Source organism: Homo sapiens, chromosome 2, assembly GCF_000001405.40.
Source record: "Homo sapiens chromosome 2, GRCh38.p14 Primary Assembly".
Lineage (NCBI taxonomy): Eukaryota > Metazoa > Chordata > Mammalia > Primates > Hominidae > Homo > Homo sapiens.
Genome location: NC_000002.12, coordinates 203,441,444 through 203,455,750, shown reverse-complemented (window position 1 = coordinate 203,455,750; position 14,307 = coordinate 203,441,444). Strand labels below are relative to the sequence as shown.

General features: G+C 38.7%; 1 protein-coding gene across 20 annotated transcripts in view; it reads left to right on the top strand.

The window, feature by feature from the left end:
- The window catches only part of RAPH1 (Ras association (RalGDS/AF-6) and pleckstrin homology domains 1), a 101,620-nt gene that overhangs the window by 79,551 nt on the left and 7,762 nt on the right, over nucleotides 1–14,307 (top strand). For 15 of the 20 annotated variants that reach the window (NM_213589.3, NM_001439024.1, NM_001439027.1 and 12 more), the window contains 5 exons: nucleotides 171–314; nucleotides 1,211–1,321; nucleotides 6,915–7,013; nucleotides 7,672–7,792; nucleotides 10,741–10,883. In NM_213589.3, coding sequence (NP_998754.1) covers nucleotides 171–314; nucleotides 1,211–1,321; nucleotides 6,915–7,013; nucleotides 7,672–7,792; nucleotides 10,741–10,883 — 618 coding nt within the window. Of the gene's footprint in view, nucleotides 1–170; nucleotides 315–1,210; nucleotides 1,322–4,962; nucleotides 5,204–6,914; nucleotides 7,014–7,671; nucleotides 7,793–10,740; nucleotides 10,884–13,077; nucleotides 14,283–14,307 lie in introns of those variants that run through there. The other 5 variants (NM_203365.4, XM_047445551.1, XM_047445550.1 and 2 more) reach the window with 3 other exon arrangements.

Genomic DNA, 14,307 nt, shown 5'->3' with positions numbered 1-14,307 from the left:
TGAGCCACTACACCTGGCTGGAAAGTTCTAATTGAGGTTAAATTAGCAGCTTGGTTTTAATATAAAACCATTTTGGTTTAATAACTGTCATGCATTTCACAGGAGTAAACACAACTTTGTTCTGAGAATCCAACGATCATAAGTCTTTGCAAATAATCTTGTTATTTTAGGAATGTTTTTGTGGAAGTTCTGTAACTGTACCAGAAATTGAAGGAGTCCTTTGGTTGAAGGATGATGGCAAGAAGTCCTGGAAAAAGCGTTATTTTCTCTTGCGAGCATCTGGTATCTACTATGTTCCCAAAGGAAAAGCAAAGGTGTGTCCCTTCTGTTGGAATTTGAACTTCCTCATTATGCTAATTGCTTTTAATTTGTATTGAGTATGCTGACAAGGTGAACCCAGGCTATGATTTGTTTCAGTTCGTGGAAGACATAGAATATTGCTTTGTTTATTAATCTATTATAAAGAAGAAGAAACCTGAAAGTTCTTACTTCTCTGGTCACTAGTTGAGCCTATCTCAGTTCTCTTTACCAAATTTGAAATCATAGTTTTATTTGTTGTTTTTTGGGGACTCTTTCTGGAGTAGTTTTGTTTATTTTTGTTTGGGAAGAACAGCACAGCTCTCTGGGATTACAGGCTTTTTTATCTTGTTTGGGTAATATGCTTCTTCTGCTAAGGGCCACCCTGGTGTAGCTATCACTTCGGTGCTTATTGGCACCAGGACTGTTTTAAACTTTTTTACAGTATTATCTCATCTAGTCTTCACAATAGTCCTATGAGCATATATTGTTGCCCCTATTTAACTGGTGAAAACCTCCCCCCAACCAGTTGCGAATCACTATACTTTACATATGCATTATAGGCACTGAACGACTTGATATTTTCTTGTTCTTTCCAGAGAGCTCTATTATACATTATTGTTTTTAATGTACTAGACTATATTAATAGTATCTTTAAAATGCCAACACTCCTTAACAAGTTAGTGTTCATTGTGAATGACAAAACAGTAAGTAAAATGGGCTGCTTTTTTGTTACGTTAATGATTAAAGAAGAAACATTTATGGAGCATCTCATTGTCTCGTGTAAATAGCAATAATTTCTATTTAGTATTAGCAAAAGTAGTTTTGATTCTCACCTAGAAAATGTTAACCAGGTATATTTGCTTGTTTGTGCATTATTATTAATTTTATCTTTTTGGTGTTTTTATCTTAGGTCTCTCGGGATCTGGTGTGCTTTCTCCAGCTGGATCATGTCAACGTTTATTATGGCCAGGACTATCGGAACAAATACAAAGCACCTACAGACTATTGTCTGGTGCTGAAGGTAAACACATATTTCTTTTTAGGAATTTTAATTGATGTTAGACATAGAGCAGGTTATTGGATATTTTAGAACTGTTGAGATTCCATCAATTATACTGTTTTTGCTTTATTCTCAAAGTTTAAAAAGGAATGGTGAAGTGTGGTAAGGAAAAGAAGCATGTGCTATATCATAGCAGACCCTGGGCCAATTATCTCTAGGTAAGGAGTGAATATTAGATTGTAAGCTTTGAGTTGTGAGATATAAAATGTATTTGATTATAAATTTGAGATTCTCATTTAACACCAGGCTTATTTTAGGAAAACTTAGAACAGAGCCGAATGTAGGTCATAAATGTGCTTTAGTTCTTTTCCTGTACTTACTCAGCAAACCATCAGAGGGCACTGTGTCCAAGTTCAAATCAGACTGGCTGTTATCTGGTCCAGAAATAATTTTTGTCTCTTTTTTTCCCTGAACTATAGTCATGATAGCCCATGTATGTATTGTGACCTGAGCTGTTTTTAGGGAGGTTTTTTTTTCTTCTTTATTCAAGCTTTTGTACTTCTTGCAATGATTATATCTGTACTTCTGAGAAGAACGGACATTTTAAGCAAATTTATAGTGATCTATTAGAACACTGATAAAAACGACATACAAAAATTCAAGAAAATTAGGGAGATAATTTTTTTTTCATTGGCTCCATCTTTGTAATTTCTTGGTAACTACTTAGGTCTACATGTTCATATCATGTTTAATTTCACTTTTCTCTGAGAATTGTCACTTTAGTTTGGGGACTGCCATTAGTTTGGGAGTTTTAGGATTTTAGGATTTTGGAGTTTTGATTGCTTTGATAAAGTCAGTACATTGTAGTAGCAACCTTTTTTTTTTTTTTTTTTTTTTTTTTTTTTGAGGCAGGGTCTTGCTCTGTCACCCAGGCTGGAGTGCAGTGGCACAATCACAGCTCACTGTAGCCTCGACTTCTCAGGCTCCAGCGATATTCCCAGCTCAGTCTCCCAAGTAGCTGGGACTTGAGGTGCATGCCACCACACCCAGCTAATTTTTGTGTTTTTTTGTAGAGACAGGGTTTAGCCATATTGCCTAGGCTAGTCACAGATTCCTGGCCTCAAGCAATCTGCCTGCCTAGGCTTCCCAGAGTGCTAGGATTACAGGCAGAGCCACTGCTCCTGGCCATAATGGTAACCTTTTATTACATAATTGTGTTTTTGGGGAACACCACTGTATCATTTTAGGTACCTTTAGGTGCAAATAGTTTTTTAAAAGTCAGTACAAAGTAGCTTAATTCAGCAGTTTTCAAAATGAGGTCCACAGTCTCCTGAGAGTCAGTCCCTAAGACCATGATGTCAAAATTATTTAATAATGCTAAGATGTTATTTGCCTCTTGAACTTTCATTCTCTCACATATGTATAGTGGAGTTTTCTAAGAGGTTATATGACATGTGATGGTATCTTCACGCTAGTGTAATGTGTGTTTGTCTATTTATTTATTTATTTATTTTTGAGACAGTCTCACTCTGTCTCCCTGGCTGATGTGATCTCGGCTCACTGCAACCTCTGCCTCCCGGGTTCAAGTAGTTCTCATGCCTTAGCTTCCCGAGTAGCTGGGACTACAGCCACATGCCACCACACCCAGTTAATTTTTGTATTTTTAGGACAGATGAGGTTTTGCCATGTTGGTCAGACTGGCCTCAAGTGATCCGCCTGCCTCAGTCTGCTGAAGTGCTGGGATTATAGGCGTGAGCTACTGTGCCTGGCCTGGCCTGTGTATTCTTGTAGTTTAATTTTTTTCTTAGTTTTAATTTATAATGTAAGTATTGCTGGGGTGGAAAAACTTCACTTCATACTCTTAGGGTCCTAGCTGGGCACACAAATTAAATTGACATAAGAGATCAACAGGAGAAAAGCATAATTACTTGTATACTGGATTGGACAAAGAATAATTTGTGAAGAAGCAACTAAATTATATGTGAAGCCTTAAAGATACGAGTTATTTTAACAAGGTCTGTACAGAATTCTGTTGGTTTCAACTTCTCATCCCTGAGGAGAAAGATATTTTCGCTTTCTAGTATTGAGAAAGCATCTTTTGCATGGTAATTTCATCTTCTAAGGCTTTTAAGAAATAGCATGAAGGTCAGAGTGATCTTCTGTACCTGCTGTTTTTCAAGTGTCTTTTAACTTAGTCAATATGCCAGGGTGGTACATTTTTAACTCCTTCAATATCAGTAGACATAATCCACGTAAAAGAAAGTTATTGGGGGACTCTCATAACATGAAAACAGTAAAAGTTGGTTGGTTATTTCAGTGGCTCAAGGTTGTCAGTGAGAACTCAAATTCTTTCCATCTTTCCTTGTTCTACTTCCCGCATATCAGCTTATTCTCAGGCTGATTCACCTCACAGTCCCAAGATGGCTGCTGCAGTTCTATGCATCACATGTAGACCCAGAAAAATCCAGCCAGCAGAAGAGGGATTATTGCTCCCTGTATTTGTCTTTTATAAGAGGAAGGAACTATTTCACAGAAGTTACTCAACCACCCTCCTTTTGAGAGTTACTGGCCCAGAGTACATTTTCTGCTGACAAGCCAATCACTGACAAGGGAATAAAACTACTATGGTTGGCTTACACCAGTCAGAATTCACACCCTGTGGGATATAGGTGAGAGGTAAGGCTCTGCCAGGAAAGAAGTGGGGAGGAGGAGATAGCCATAGGGGCCTGCACTCAACCTGTCAGGGTCATTTTAAAAATGAAATGTTGACCTTTCTTTCTTAATAGGTATTCATCTGTTTTGGGAGCAATTTCATTATATGTTCTCTGGACTCTCTTAAGAATCTAAATGTGGAGCTTCTGGTTTTTAGCAATGAATGTTTCCTCCAGCCTTCCTCTTAACCCTGGTATAATTTTAAAAATGACAGCATAATATTGTGGGGAAAAAAGGAGCAGAGGTAGCAGATTCAAAGGGGCACATTTTAATAAGGCAGTAGTATGAAATAGTAGTTAAAAGCATGCACTCTGGGATGAGATTGCATGGGTTCAAATTCTAGTACTACCTTTCACTTATCGGAAGCAATTTTGAGCGCTGTTTTAACCTTACTCTGTGCCTTGCTTTCTTCTTGGAACATGGAGATAATAATATGTAACTCAGAGAGGTTTTGTGAGTATTTAATGAAAAATGTGAAGTATGTGAAATATTTTACATAGTGTCTAGTACATAGCAAGGGTGCAATAAATGCCACTTTTAATAAAATAATGTATTAGCAGAACAGACAATCTGCAGAAGTACTTGTACAGAGCCTGGATGACCATAAGGAAAGTAATGAATGCCTTTATTATGTGAGAGGATGAAAAAATGTTTTGAGGTTCTAAAAGGAATTTTAAACTAGCAGTAATCTGATACTTGACTTAAAAAGACTCATACTTATACCATAGTACTCTTCAGGTTATTATCTGTATTCCCAGGTTAGAGAGATGAGGAGAACAGGGTGGAGGATAATTTCTCTTTGATTTTCCCAGATGTTGTTTTGATTAAAAAAAAAAAAAAACCCTCTTTTTGTGCAGAACGCATGGAAGCACACATGCACACTTGGGCTTCTGCTACAGTTGAACACCTATGCAGTCAAGTTTGCAAATCACCATGAAGGGAGGGCGTGGTGATACAGTTGCGAGCCATCTAAAGCAGCTTGCTGAGATCTCTGAACCTTGCCCTGCAGGCAGTGCCTCCATGAAGCAGAACAGTCTCTTAAGCCCTCACTGGCAACACTAACAGAGCTCTTTTCAGTTGGCCTATTTTATCTTCTGCACAAACTATGGCTTTTGTTTTGCTCATCACTAAACCTACCTGAAGCACCTGGCAAATAGTTCTCAATAAGTATCTGTTGAATGAATGAATGAGGTAAAATCCCCCTTCCTCCTTTTATAGAAGAATACATACTTCTCTGTCTGCCCTCCTTTGCTTTTTCAAGGTCACTATTATGGTTTATTATAATGTAATTTACCGTGGACAAGGAGCATATTCCAAGAGAGGGCCTATATTATCAGGAGGGAAGACTGTTAGGTATTATTTTGCTAACCTCTTATTGTTGAGGGTTTATTGTTTAAAACTGACTATAACCTTCAACAAGAAAATTGGTTTTGGTATTAAATGTTATAGGAGCTGAGCTCTGAAAAGCAAAGAATAGAATTAATGGGTTTCTTTTTTTTTTCCCTCATTGTAGACCAGAGTGATTGATCTTTAACAATGCAGATACATAACTTATGTTGGTGGCCATCTATTCTTGATGGATTGAAAACTTATTTAAATTGCTTATTTTATTGAGCTCATGGATTTTCACAACAAATGACTATGATTGGGGAATTTTGGAAAACTAAATTCTTTTAAAGCTTTTTTTCTTTCTTTCTTTGTTTTTTTTTTTTTTTGGAGACGAAGTCTCGCTCTGTTACCCAGGCTGGAGTGCGGTGGCACGATCTTGGCTCACTGCAACCTCTGCCTCCTGGGTTTAAGCGATTCTCCTGTGTCAGCCTCCTGAGTAGCTGGGATTACAGGCATGCACCACCACGTCCAACTAATTTTTGTATTTTTAATAGAGACGGGGTTTCACCGTGTTGGTCAGGTTGGTCTCGAACTCCTGACTCCTTGATCCACCCGCCTCGGCCTCCCAAAGTGCTGGGTTTACAGGCATGAGCCACCATATCTGGCCTTTTTCTTTCTTATAACTGAACACAAATTTAAAATTTTTTCCAGGCAAATTATAGCCATTAGTTTTTTGGTTTTCAGAATAGTTGAAAAGAGATGTGGTGTTCATAAGTCATTACATTCAGAACAAGTGTGATTTAGGGCTTTTCTTTCCAAGGACCTACTGGTTGAGGCTCAGTGGTGTTAAAATTTCTTAAACATATTCCTAACACCTGGATTTTGTAGCCAAGGTTCAGTCAGTCACCTCTCATCCAAGCCTCAACTGAAAAGTACAGTGGGTTGTGAAAACTAAATGTGAAGATGCTGTTGACATCTATGTGTCCCCTGGAGGCAAGTGCTGCAGCCCTGCAGTTTGGTAGAGAGTGGGACCTACAGGGCTGTACTTCCCTGTGACAGGTGTGACTGTAGATTCTTGTCCCAGGTGCTGTGCCATAGGCTTGGTGTACCCAGCCCAGTAATTCACCTCACCTCTAGACACTGAAGCTTTGTCAAAGTCCCTCTCTGATTTGGAGTCTTCTGCACCCATAATTTCAGTGGGTTGAAAGTGAAATTAAACATTCTCTTCCTTTTCCATAATCTTATAGATGGAGAATTCTATGGACTCTGTTAACCTTGATGAACTTTGTTTCTTTGAAATGTAGAAGGAACGTTTGGGAATTTCTCAAGATGTGAAGATCTATTTTAACTTGGATATCTTGATCTAAAATTTCACAAAAGTTTCTTTCTCATTTACTTTGTAAAAATTCTTATGGGCTACTTTATTTGGCCTTATGGCCATATAAGAAGCATAAATGTATTGGCCATTACTCTAATGGCCTATAACTTGTCAGGATATGTTTAAGCTTTGATAAAGTTTGTTTTTCTTTAGTTCTCCAAGGGACTTAGTTGGATTTTGTCTTTAATCTTGCAGCATCCACAAATCCAGAAGAAATCTCAATATATCAAATACCTTTGTTGTGATGATGTGAGGACACTGCATCAGTGGGTCAATGGGATCCGCATTGCAAAGGCATGTCTCCTTTTGATTTGATGATGGAATAATGAGGTGTTTGTCGATGATATAGTTTTCGTTTTCATGACAACTATTCTGACTATTTCATGTTCATGGATTTGCCAGTGCCTACGTTTTTCAGGCCTAAGTTTCAAGTTTTAAATGTTGTCTTTTTTCCTTGTTTATAGGGATAAACTTTTAACATTTGGTATACTTGGAATAATATTGCTGGTAAAAGCTTGTGTAGTATCAAAGTGATTTATTTTGGCTTTGGAGAATGCATTATATGATTCTTAAATAGTAGAGTTTAGCCTAAGCAAAGTAAGTTTTGGAAAAATTAAATTACTTTAAGTAATGATCATTTACCAACCACATTTGGAGCAGTATCCTGAAGAGTGCTAAAAAGCTGCCCTTGGATCAAGAATTTGGGGTGAAAAAACATTAATGTTTATAACAAACAGAATCAAGTGTTGACTTCTTGCTGCCCCTCTAAAAATGAGGAGAAATAAGAATAGATTATAATTTATGGTATTAGAGGAATTTTTGAACTATCATAGGTATTAATTTTAATACAGACCATCAATCAGTAAACAGAAATATGTCCCCCATTTCACCTTATCCTTCTGTATCATACTCAGTAAAGTTTAGATGTCACCATTTCCTGTCTTCTCTTTAGTATGGGAAGCAGCTCTATATGAACTACCAAGAAGCCTTGAAGAGGACAGAGTCAGCCTATGATTGGACTTCCTTATCCAGCTCCAGCATTAAATCGGGATCCAGTTCTTCCAGCATCCCAGGTAGTTCAAAATGCTTCAAAGCACTATTTTGCGATTAATATGAAGGTCTCTGTAGAGACTGATAGTAGACCTGGAAATTTCAACTTGATTCTTAAAAACCGGAGCCATACTTAATTCCTAAATTATAATCAATAGATGCCTTTTTAAAAATTGCTAGAGGGTACAGTATCATGGGCTAGTTCACAAATGTATTTGAAATGAAAAATCAGTATATAGATTTCTAAAGCCAGTTTTGTTATTTATATTTATAAAATTTATTCAAAACATACATACTGCTGGACACTGTTAATGCATAATTTGGGATAAAACATTACTTGGAAAGAATCTTTGTACTCAGAAACCATGAAGAAGCTGCACTCCTTCAGATTCCTATATCCTTTAAACAAGTGCATGCTATGATTACATCTTAACATAAATCTTCTTTCAATTCAAAATGTTTCATGAATGAGATCCATGTCATCTAAAAGCAGAATTTTTAAATTTTTGCATTGGATGTGATGAAAGAAATAATAACTTTAGTAGTATATTTAAAAGCTGCATGACTCTATTTCATCTCTATTAAGTAAAAACAAATTTAGAATGTGTATATACACATACATTTCCTAGTGCTGTCCACTGAGGACTAGAAGCAGTGATACCCCAGGAACAATGAGAATACCCAGTCCCTAGATCATAGAGGTTTCTTTTTGTTTTTTCGTTTTATTAAATTTTGGCCAAGGATGCTGCTTAAATAGATCATGGTTTCTAATACCATTCTTCAAAAAAAAAAAAAAAAAAGAAAGAAAAGAAAACCAAGGCTCTCAAAGAAATGGCAAATTATAGGGCTGCAGCAGAGAATATATACAAGATGAGCCTAGAGCATCTTGTAATGCCAGAAAGTAAGGGAATGCTTAAAAAACGACAGTAGGGCCAGGCACAGTGGCTGACGCCTGTAATGCCAATGCTTTGGGAGGCCTAGGTTAAGGGATCACGTGAGCCCAGTAGTTCAAAACCAGCCTGGGCAGCACAGCAAGACCCCATCTCCACAACTTTTTTTTTTTTTTTTTTTTAAATTAGCCAGACTTAGTAGTACACATAGTCCTAGCAACTCAGGAGGCTGAGGCAGGAGGATTGCTTGAGCCCAAAAGTTCAAGGCTGCAGTGAGCTATAATCACACCACTGTGCTCCAGCTTGTGCAACAGAACGAGACCCTGTCTCACAAAACACAAGATGAGAATATGTCAAAGGGATACACAGAGGAGCCAGTCTGAAAGAGCTCCAAAGGTCAAAGCTGGAACAATTTGAGCAATACAATAAGTAATATAGTATAGGATTGTAACCCATGGACATAAATATCCATGAGTTTATACTGATGTAAATAAATCATTGAATAAATAAATGGGGAAGAGGAGAGAACTGTCCTGTGTAGATTTCTAAATGATTTATGAAGACACTTTGTCCTGAAGGAAGTAGAGCTTACCTAAGTCCTCAAGTGTGGACTGTGCTTAGTGACTTGCTTCCAGTGATTATGGAACGGGGATTAGGGGTAACTTCACAGTGGAGAAACCTGACAAACACTGCCACAACCATGTGGTCAAGGTCAGTATCTAAGTCACATTGGTTATAGGGACCTTTGACATAGTGTGTGAGAATGGCTTTTTTCCTCTATGATCTTCCTCCCCAAGTTCCATAAACAGACTAATCAAGAGAAAAAGCATCAGACAAACCAAAACTGAGAGACAGTCTACAAGATACCTGACCACTATTCCTCAAAACTGTCTAAGTCATCAAAAACAGGAAATTCTGAGAAGCCGTTATAGGAGACATGATGACTAACTGTGACGTGGTGTCCTGGATCAGAAAAGGCACATGAGGGAAAAACTAGTGAAATCCAAATAAAGTGTGGAGCGTAGTTAATAGTAGCAGGACATTTCCTTAGTTGTGACAAATGTAGTATAGTAATGTAACATGTTAATAATGGGGAAAAGGGAATAAAATTAAAAGAGGACACTTTTTCCCCAAAGGAGAATTTCTTTAAAACCAAACATATTGCTAAATGGGTAAACTGGATGCCGGGTATGTAGGAATTCTGTGCTAAAACTGTTCTAATATTCAAATATCTAATATGTAGATATCTTAAAACTATTCTAAGAAAATATTTATTAAAATGGGGAAAAAAAACCAACCAACAACCCTTCCAGAACATGGTTCCCCTTCCTTTTCCTTCCTTCCTCTCCCATCACCCAGGCTGGAATGCAGTGGTGTTATCATAGCTCACTTAACTCTCCTGGGCTCAAATGATCCTCCCACCTCAGCCTCCTTGCTCAGGCGGCAAAGAGACACTGTATGCTCACAGCCATTCCCACCAGGCCCCACTCCTTTCAAAACTTTTTTGTGCCTTGCTGACAGGCCAGGATACAGCACAGCTGCCACCCTATGGGTCCAATACCTAAATCCCTAGGAAACACACTTCGCACTAGAGGGTCAAATTCTAAGTATTGCTCATTGCTAGAAAAAAGGAAATAATCATTGTGTATAGATCCGAATTCCTAAGTTACAATTCTGGCGTGACCTTAAGGCAGGGGTATTAAAAAGGCTGATTCTCAATGTAATGCAGACATGATTGAGAGACTCCTCTACTGATGGTTCATTAATTCTTTTATTGTTTAGAGTTGATTTCATGCAAGACTGGGTGTCAGGATACCAATAATGTTATGTGAATCATTTATTATAATTATCAGTCTCTCATGGTGAAATATTTAACACTAATCTGAGATTTCTTAATTCCAAGGTAAGGGAAGTTTTCTAGTAGAAAATACTGGCTGTGTTTATGATGAAATGAGTAAAATAACTTGGTGCTGTTGTACACAGCACTTGACCTTGTGTAAAAGATCTAACTAGACATACATATGAATATTGTCAGAATACTGACTCTTTTAAACCTATGTTTAAAAAACTATTTTAAACAGAGTCTCAGTCAAACCACTCCAATCAGTCTGATAGCGGAGTTTCTGACACCCAGCCAGCAGGACACGTCCGTTCCCAGAGCATTGTGAGCTCCGTATTCTCTGAAGCCTGGAAACGAGGCACTCAGTTGGAAGAGTCCAGCAAGGTAACAGCTTCGTTTTAATTTACATTGAAAATTCTGTGGTATTCTTTTGGGTTTAAATTGTTGCTCTCTTATGTCTTTATCGGGGATCTTATTTGGCCTTATTTCAGTCTCCTTTATTAATTTTCAATCTTCCTAATTGTAGTGGGTAAAGACAGTTCAGAGAGACCTGTTGATTTGACTTCCCCTTGGAAATGAGTATTTTACAAATTGGCTCTAATGACTTAAAATCTCAAAAAAACAAAAAAAACTGGCAGTTTAATTCTTTCATCAGTGGCTCAGATTTTTAAGAAATAACAATTTCTTCCTTTCCACCTTTAAGCAGTTTGGATGGCAAAACACCATCTATTGCAAATGCCCTAAATTCTAGAGAAGCTGTTTACAGTTCTCTCTCTTCTTTCCTGTCTTTTTTTCTTCTTCCTTTTTTTTTTTTTTTTTTTTTGACAGAGTGTCAGTCTGTCGCCAGGCTGGAGTGCAGTGGCGTGATCTCAGCTCACTGCAGCCTTCGCCTCCCGGGTTCAAACGATTCTCCTGCCTCAGCCTCCCGAGTAGCTGGGATTATAGGCACATGCTACCACGCCCAGCTAATTTTTGTATTTTTAGTAGAGACAGGGTTTCACCCTGTTGTCTAGGATGGTTTCAACCTCTTGACTTCGAGATCCACCTGCCTCAGCCTCCCAGAGTGCTGGGATTACAGGCGAGAGCCACCGTGCCCAGCCTCTCTCTCTCTTTTTTTCTCTTCTTTTTTATTCTTTTCTTCCTTCCTTCCCTCCTTTCCTCCCTCCCCTCACTTCCCTCCCTCCCTCCCCTTCCTTCTCTCCCTTCCTTCCCTTCCTTTCCTTCCTTCTCCCCATCCCCTCCTCTCCCTCTCCCTCTCCCTTTCCCGTCACCCAGGCTGGAATGCAGTGGTGTTATCAGGGCTCACTTAAGCCTCCTGGGCTCAAATGATCCTCCCACCTCAGCCTGCTTGCTCACCTCAGCCTCCCGAGTAGTTGCCTGAGTAGTTGGGACTACAGGTGCACACCACCATGCCTGGCTAGTTTTTTATTTTTTGGTAGAGACAAGGTCTGGCTATTTTGCCTGGGCTGGTCTCGAACTCCTGGCCTCAAGCGATCCTCCTGCCTCGGCTTTCCAAAGTCCTGGGATTACAGGCATGAGCCACCATATTCAGTCCAGTTATTTCTTTATTGGTTAATTTATTCAGACTCATTCCTTACCTTTTTTTTTTTTAATGCTTTTGCCATTTCTTTGGGCATTGATGAATTTTTTCAAATTATACTTTATGTGGAAGACTAAATTAAAATCATTTCCCTTAAAAGTTTTGGATTCCTGAGCCTTGCATAGTATATTGTGCAGTGAGACTGAAGGATGAGTATAGTTATTGCAAGACTATAATTAGGAAAATAGAGAGGTTCTTCAGTTCATTTGAAAGACATCATGGCCTTCTATCAGACATCATCTGTAGTTGTGTAGGCAAGGATGTGTCCTGGCTGTAGTCACCATTTCAATATGCAAGAGGTCACTCCATCATTGAGGAACCAGTGGCACCCTGGGCTCAACTATTTTATTTTTACTAATAATTGTTTTTATTTATTTATTTAATTTTTTGGTGGGGGGTGCTTTTGGTCTGAATCACTTATACAGGTACATTCACGAATGAGAATAAATGGACATTTTTCCTTTTATTCCTTCATTCGTATATGTGGTTCACTAACTGGGCTCCCGCAGGGAAGAGAAGGCCTTAGTAGCACCATGTGGGGCTGAAGCCCTTTCCTTCAGAAATGAGCATTTGAGAATTGGTTCTAACGATCTAAATTCTCAAAACACTGAGTTTAACTCCCTTATTAGAGACTCAAACTTTTAAGAAATAATTTCTCTCTCCCTTCCCCCATTTAATCAATTTGGATGGAGCTAGTATTTTAAAAATGTACTAAAGAAGTTGGTTTACAGAATTCGGATGGCTAAAGAAAAACCCCTTTGCCTTACCAAATTACTAATGGTGAGATCCGTGTGCATTTTAAGTTATAGAACCTAGTTATGTGTAAGGCCAAGGAAAACAAAATCACAGACCCAAAATGTTCTGTGATTAAGCAGCAAAGTCCGTTATTGCACAGAGTTTCAGAAGAGTAGGAACCCTGCTGTCAGCAGTAATGCTTTAAGGCTTGATCACTCTGTATTTCTTCTCCTGTTACCTCAGTCTCAGGTGCCAAATGAGAAGGCCAGCACAGCTAAGGCCTGCGCCCCTGAAGCAGCCAAGACAGGGTCAAGTTAAGGTCAGGGGTTGTTCTCTGGAAACACATTAACCTCGGTGACGCCTGTATCCCAATCTCACAGACTAATCTTTTTGTGTAATTTTAAAAGAAACATGTGAATGTCCGGATGGCTATTAGAATTCAGCCCTATAATGAGCCTTCTAGTTCACTAACCCATGCATTCTCGATGTCATTCAAAATTGAAAACAAATGGTTTATCTTGGATCCTCAAAGTTTGTTCAAAGAGCCTAAAAGATGTACCTAAAGTTTTTAAAACAAGGGTCCTTCCTTTCCTCTTTTCAAAGTACCTGAACCACCATCGTGCATGATTAGCTCCACGAAATAAACTACCAGATGTGATCATTTCAGCTACCCAGATGGGTTGGTTGTTGGCAAATGCTAGCTGCCATTTCTTGATACATTTTCTTTATTCTAGCCTTCCAGAGCTTCCTCTTAATTTCTTCTGGCTTTTTCTGTATGATATTTTTACAGTCTTTTGCTATAATGTTTACAAAGCATTTCTTTATGTATTTTCCAGTAAAACAAATGTAAAGAATGTCCCCCCTTTACCTGCATTGCTGGACTTCTGTGCATGTTGGATGCAATTGTCTCACACCAACACGAGTGTGTGTGTCAAGCTTATTCATTCCTGTGTGACTGTGCACGCCTGCTCAACATTCTCATACTCTCCTGTGTCAGCTTACTAGCATCAAAAAGCCATCCTCATTCCACCAGGAAGCCCTCCTAAACCCAGTTATAGCATCTGCTTGATGTGGATGCAGTCATGGACTGAAAGGTAAACTGGAGCCATCACATCTCCCCTTGGAAGTCCAGTGCTCAGAGGACCGCCACAGAGGGTTCCATGTAGGGCAGGCTGTGTCAAAGTCATACAGCCAAGGTCAGAAGTCATGCATCCTGTCACCATTCAAACAGCTTTTGCAGCCGGACATTTTTCCTAGATTGTTAGATGGTCTAGCTATTTTACTGTGGGGTAAAACAAGTTTTCTGTTTCCTTCTTGCCCGCACAATCAGATTTTAGCCTTCCTGACATTGTCCATCTTTATGATCACCACCAACTTCTGCATCCTTTTCATGCATGTCCCAGACTCCCTGCTTTTTAGTTTTACACAATCAAAGCTTACCTCTGTAACTGTTTTGTTTGTTGTGTTTTTCTC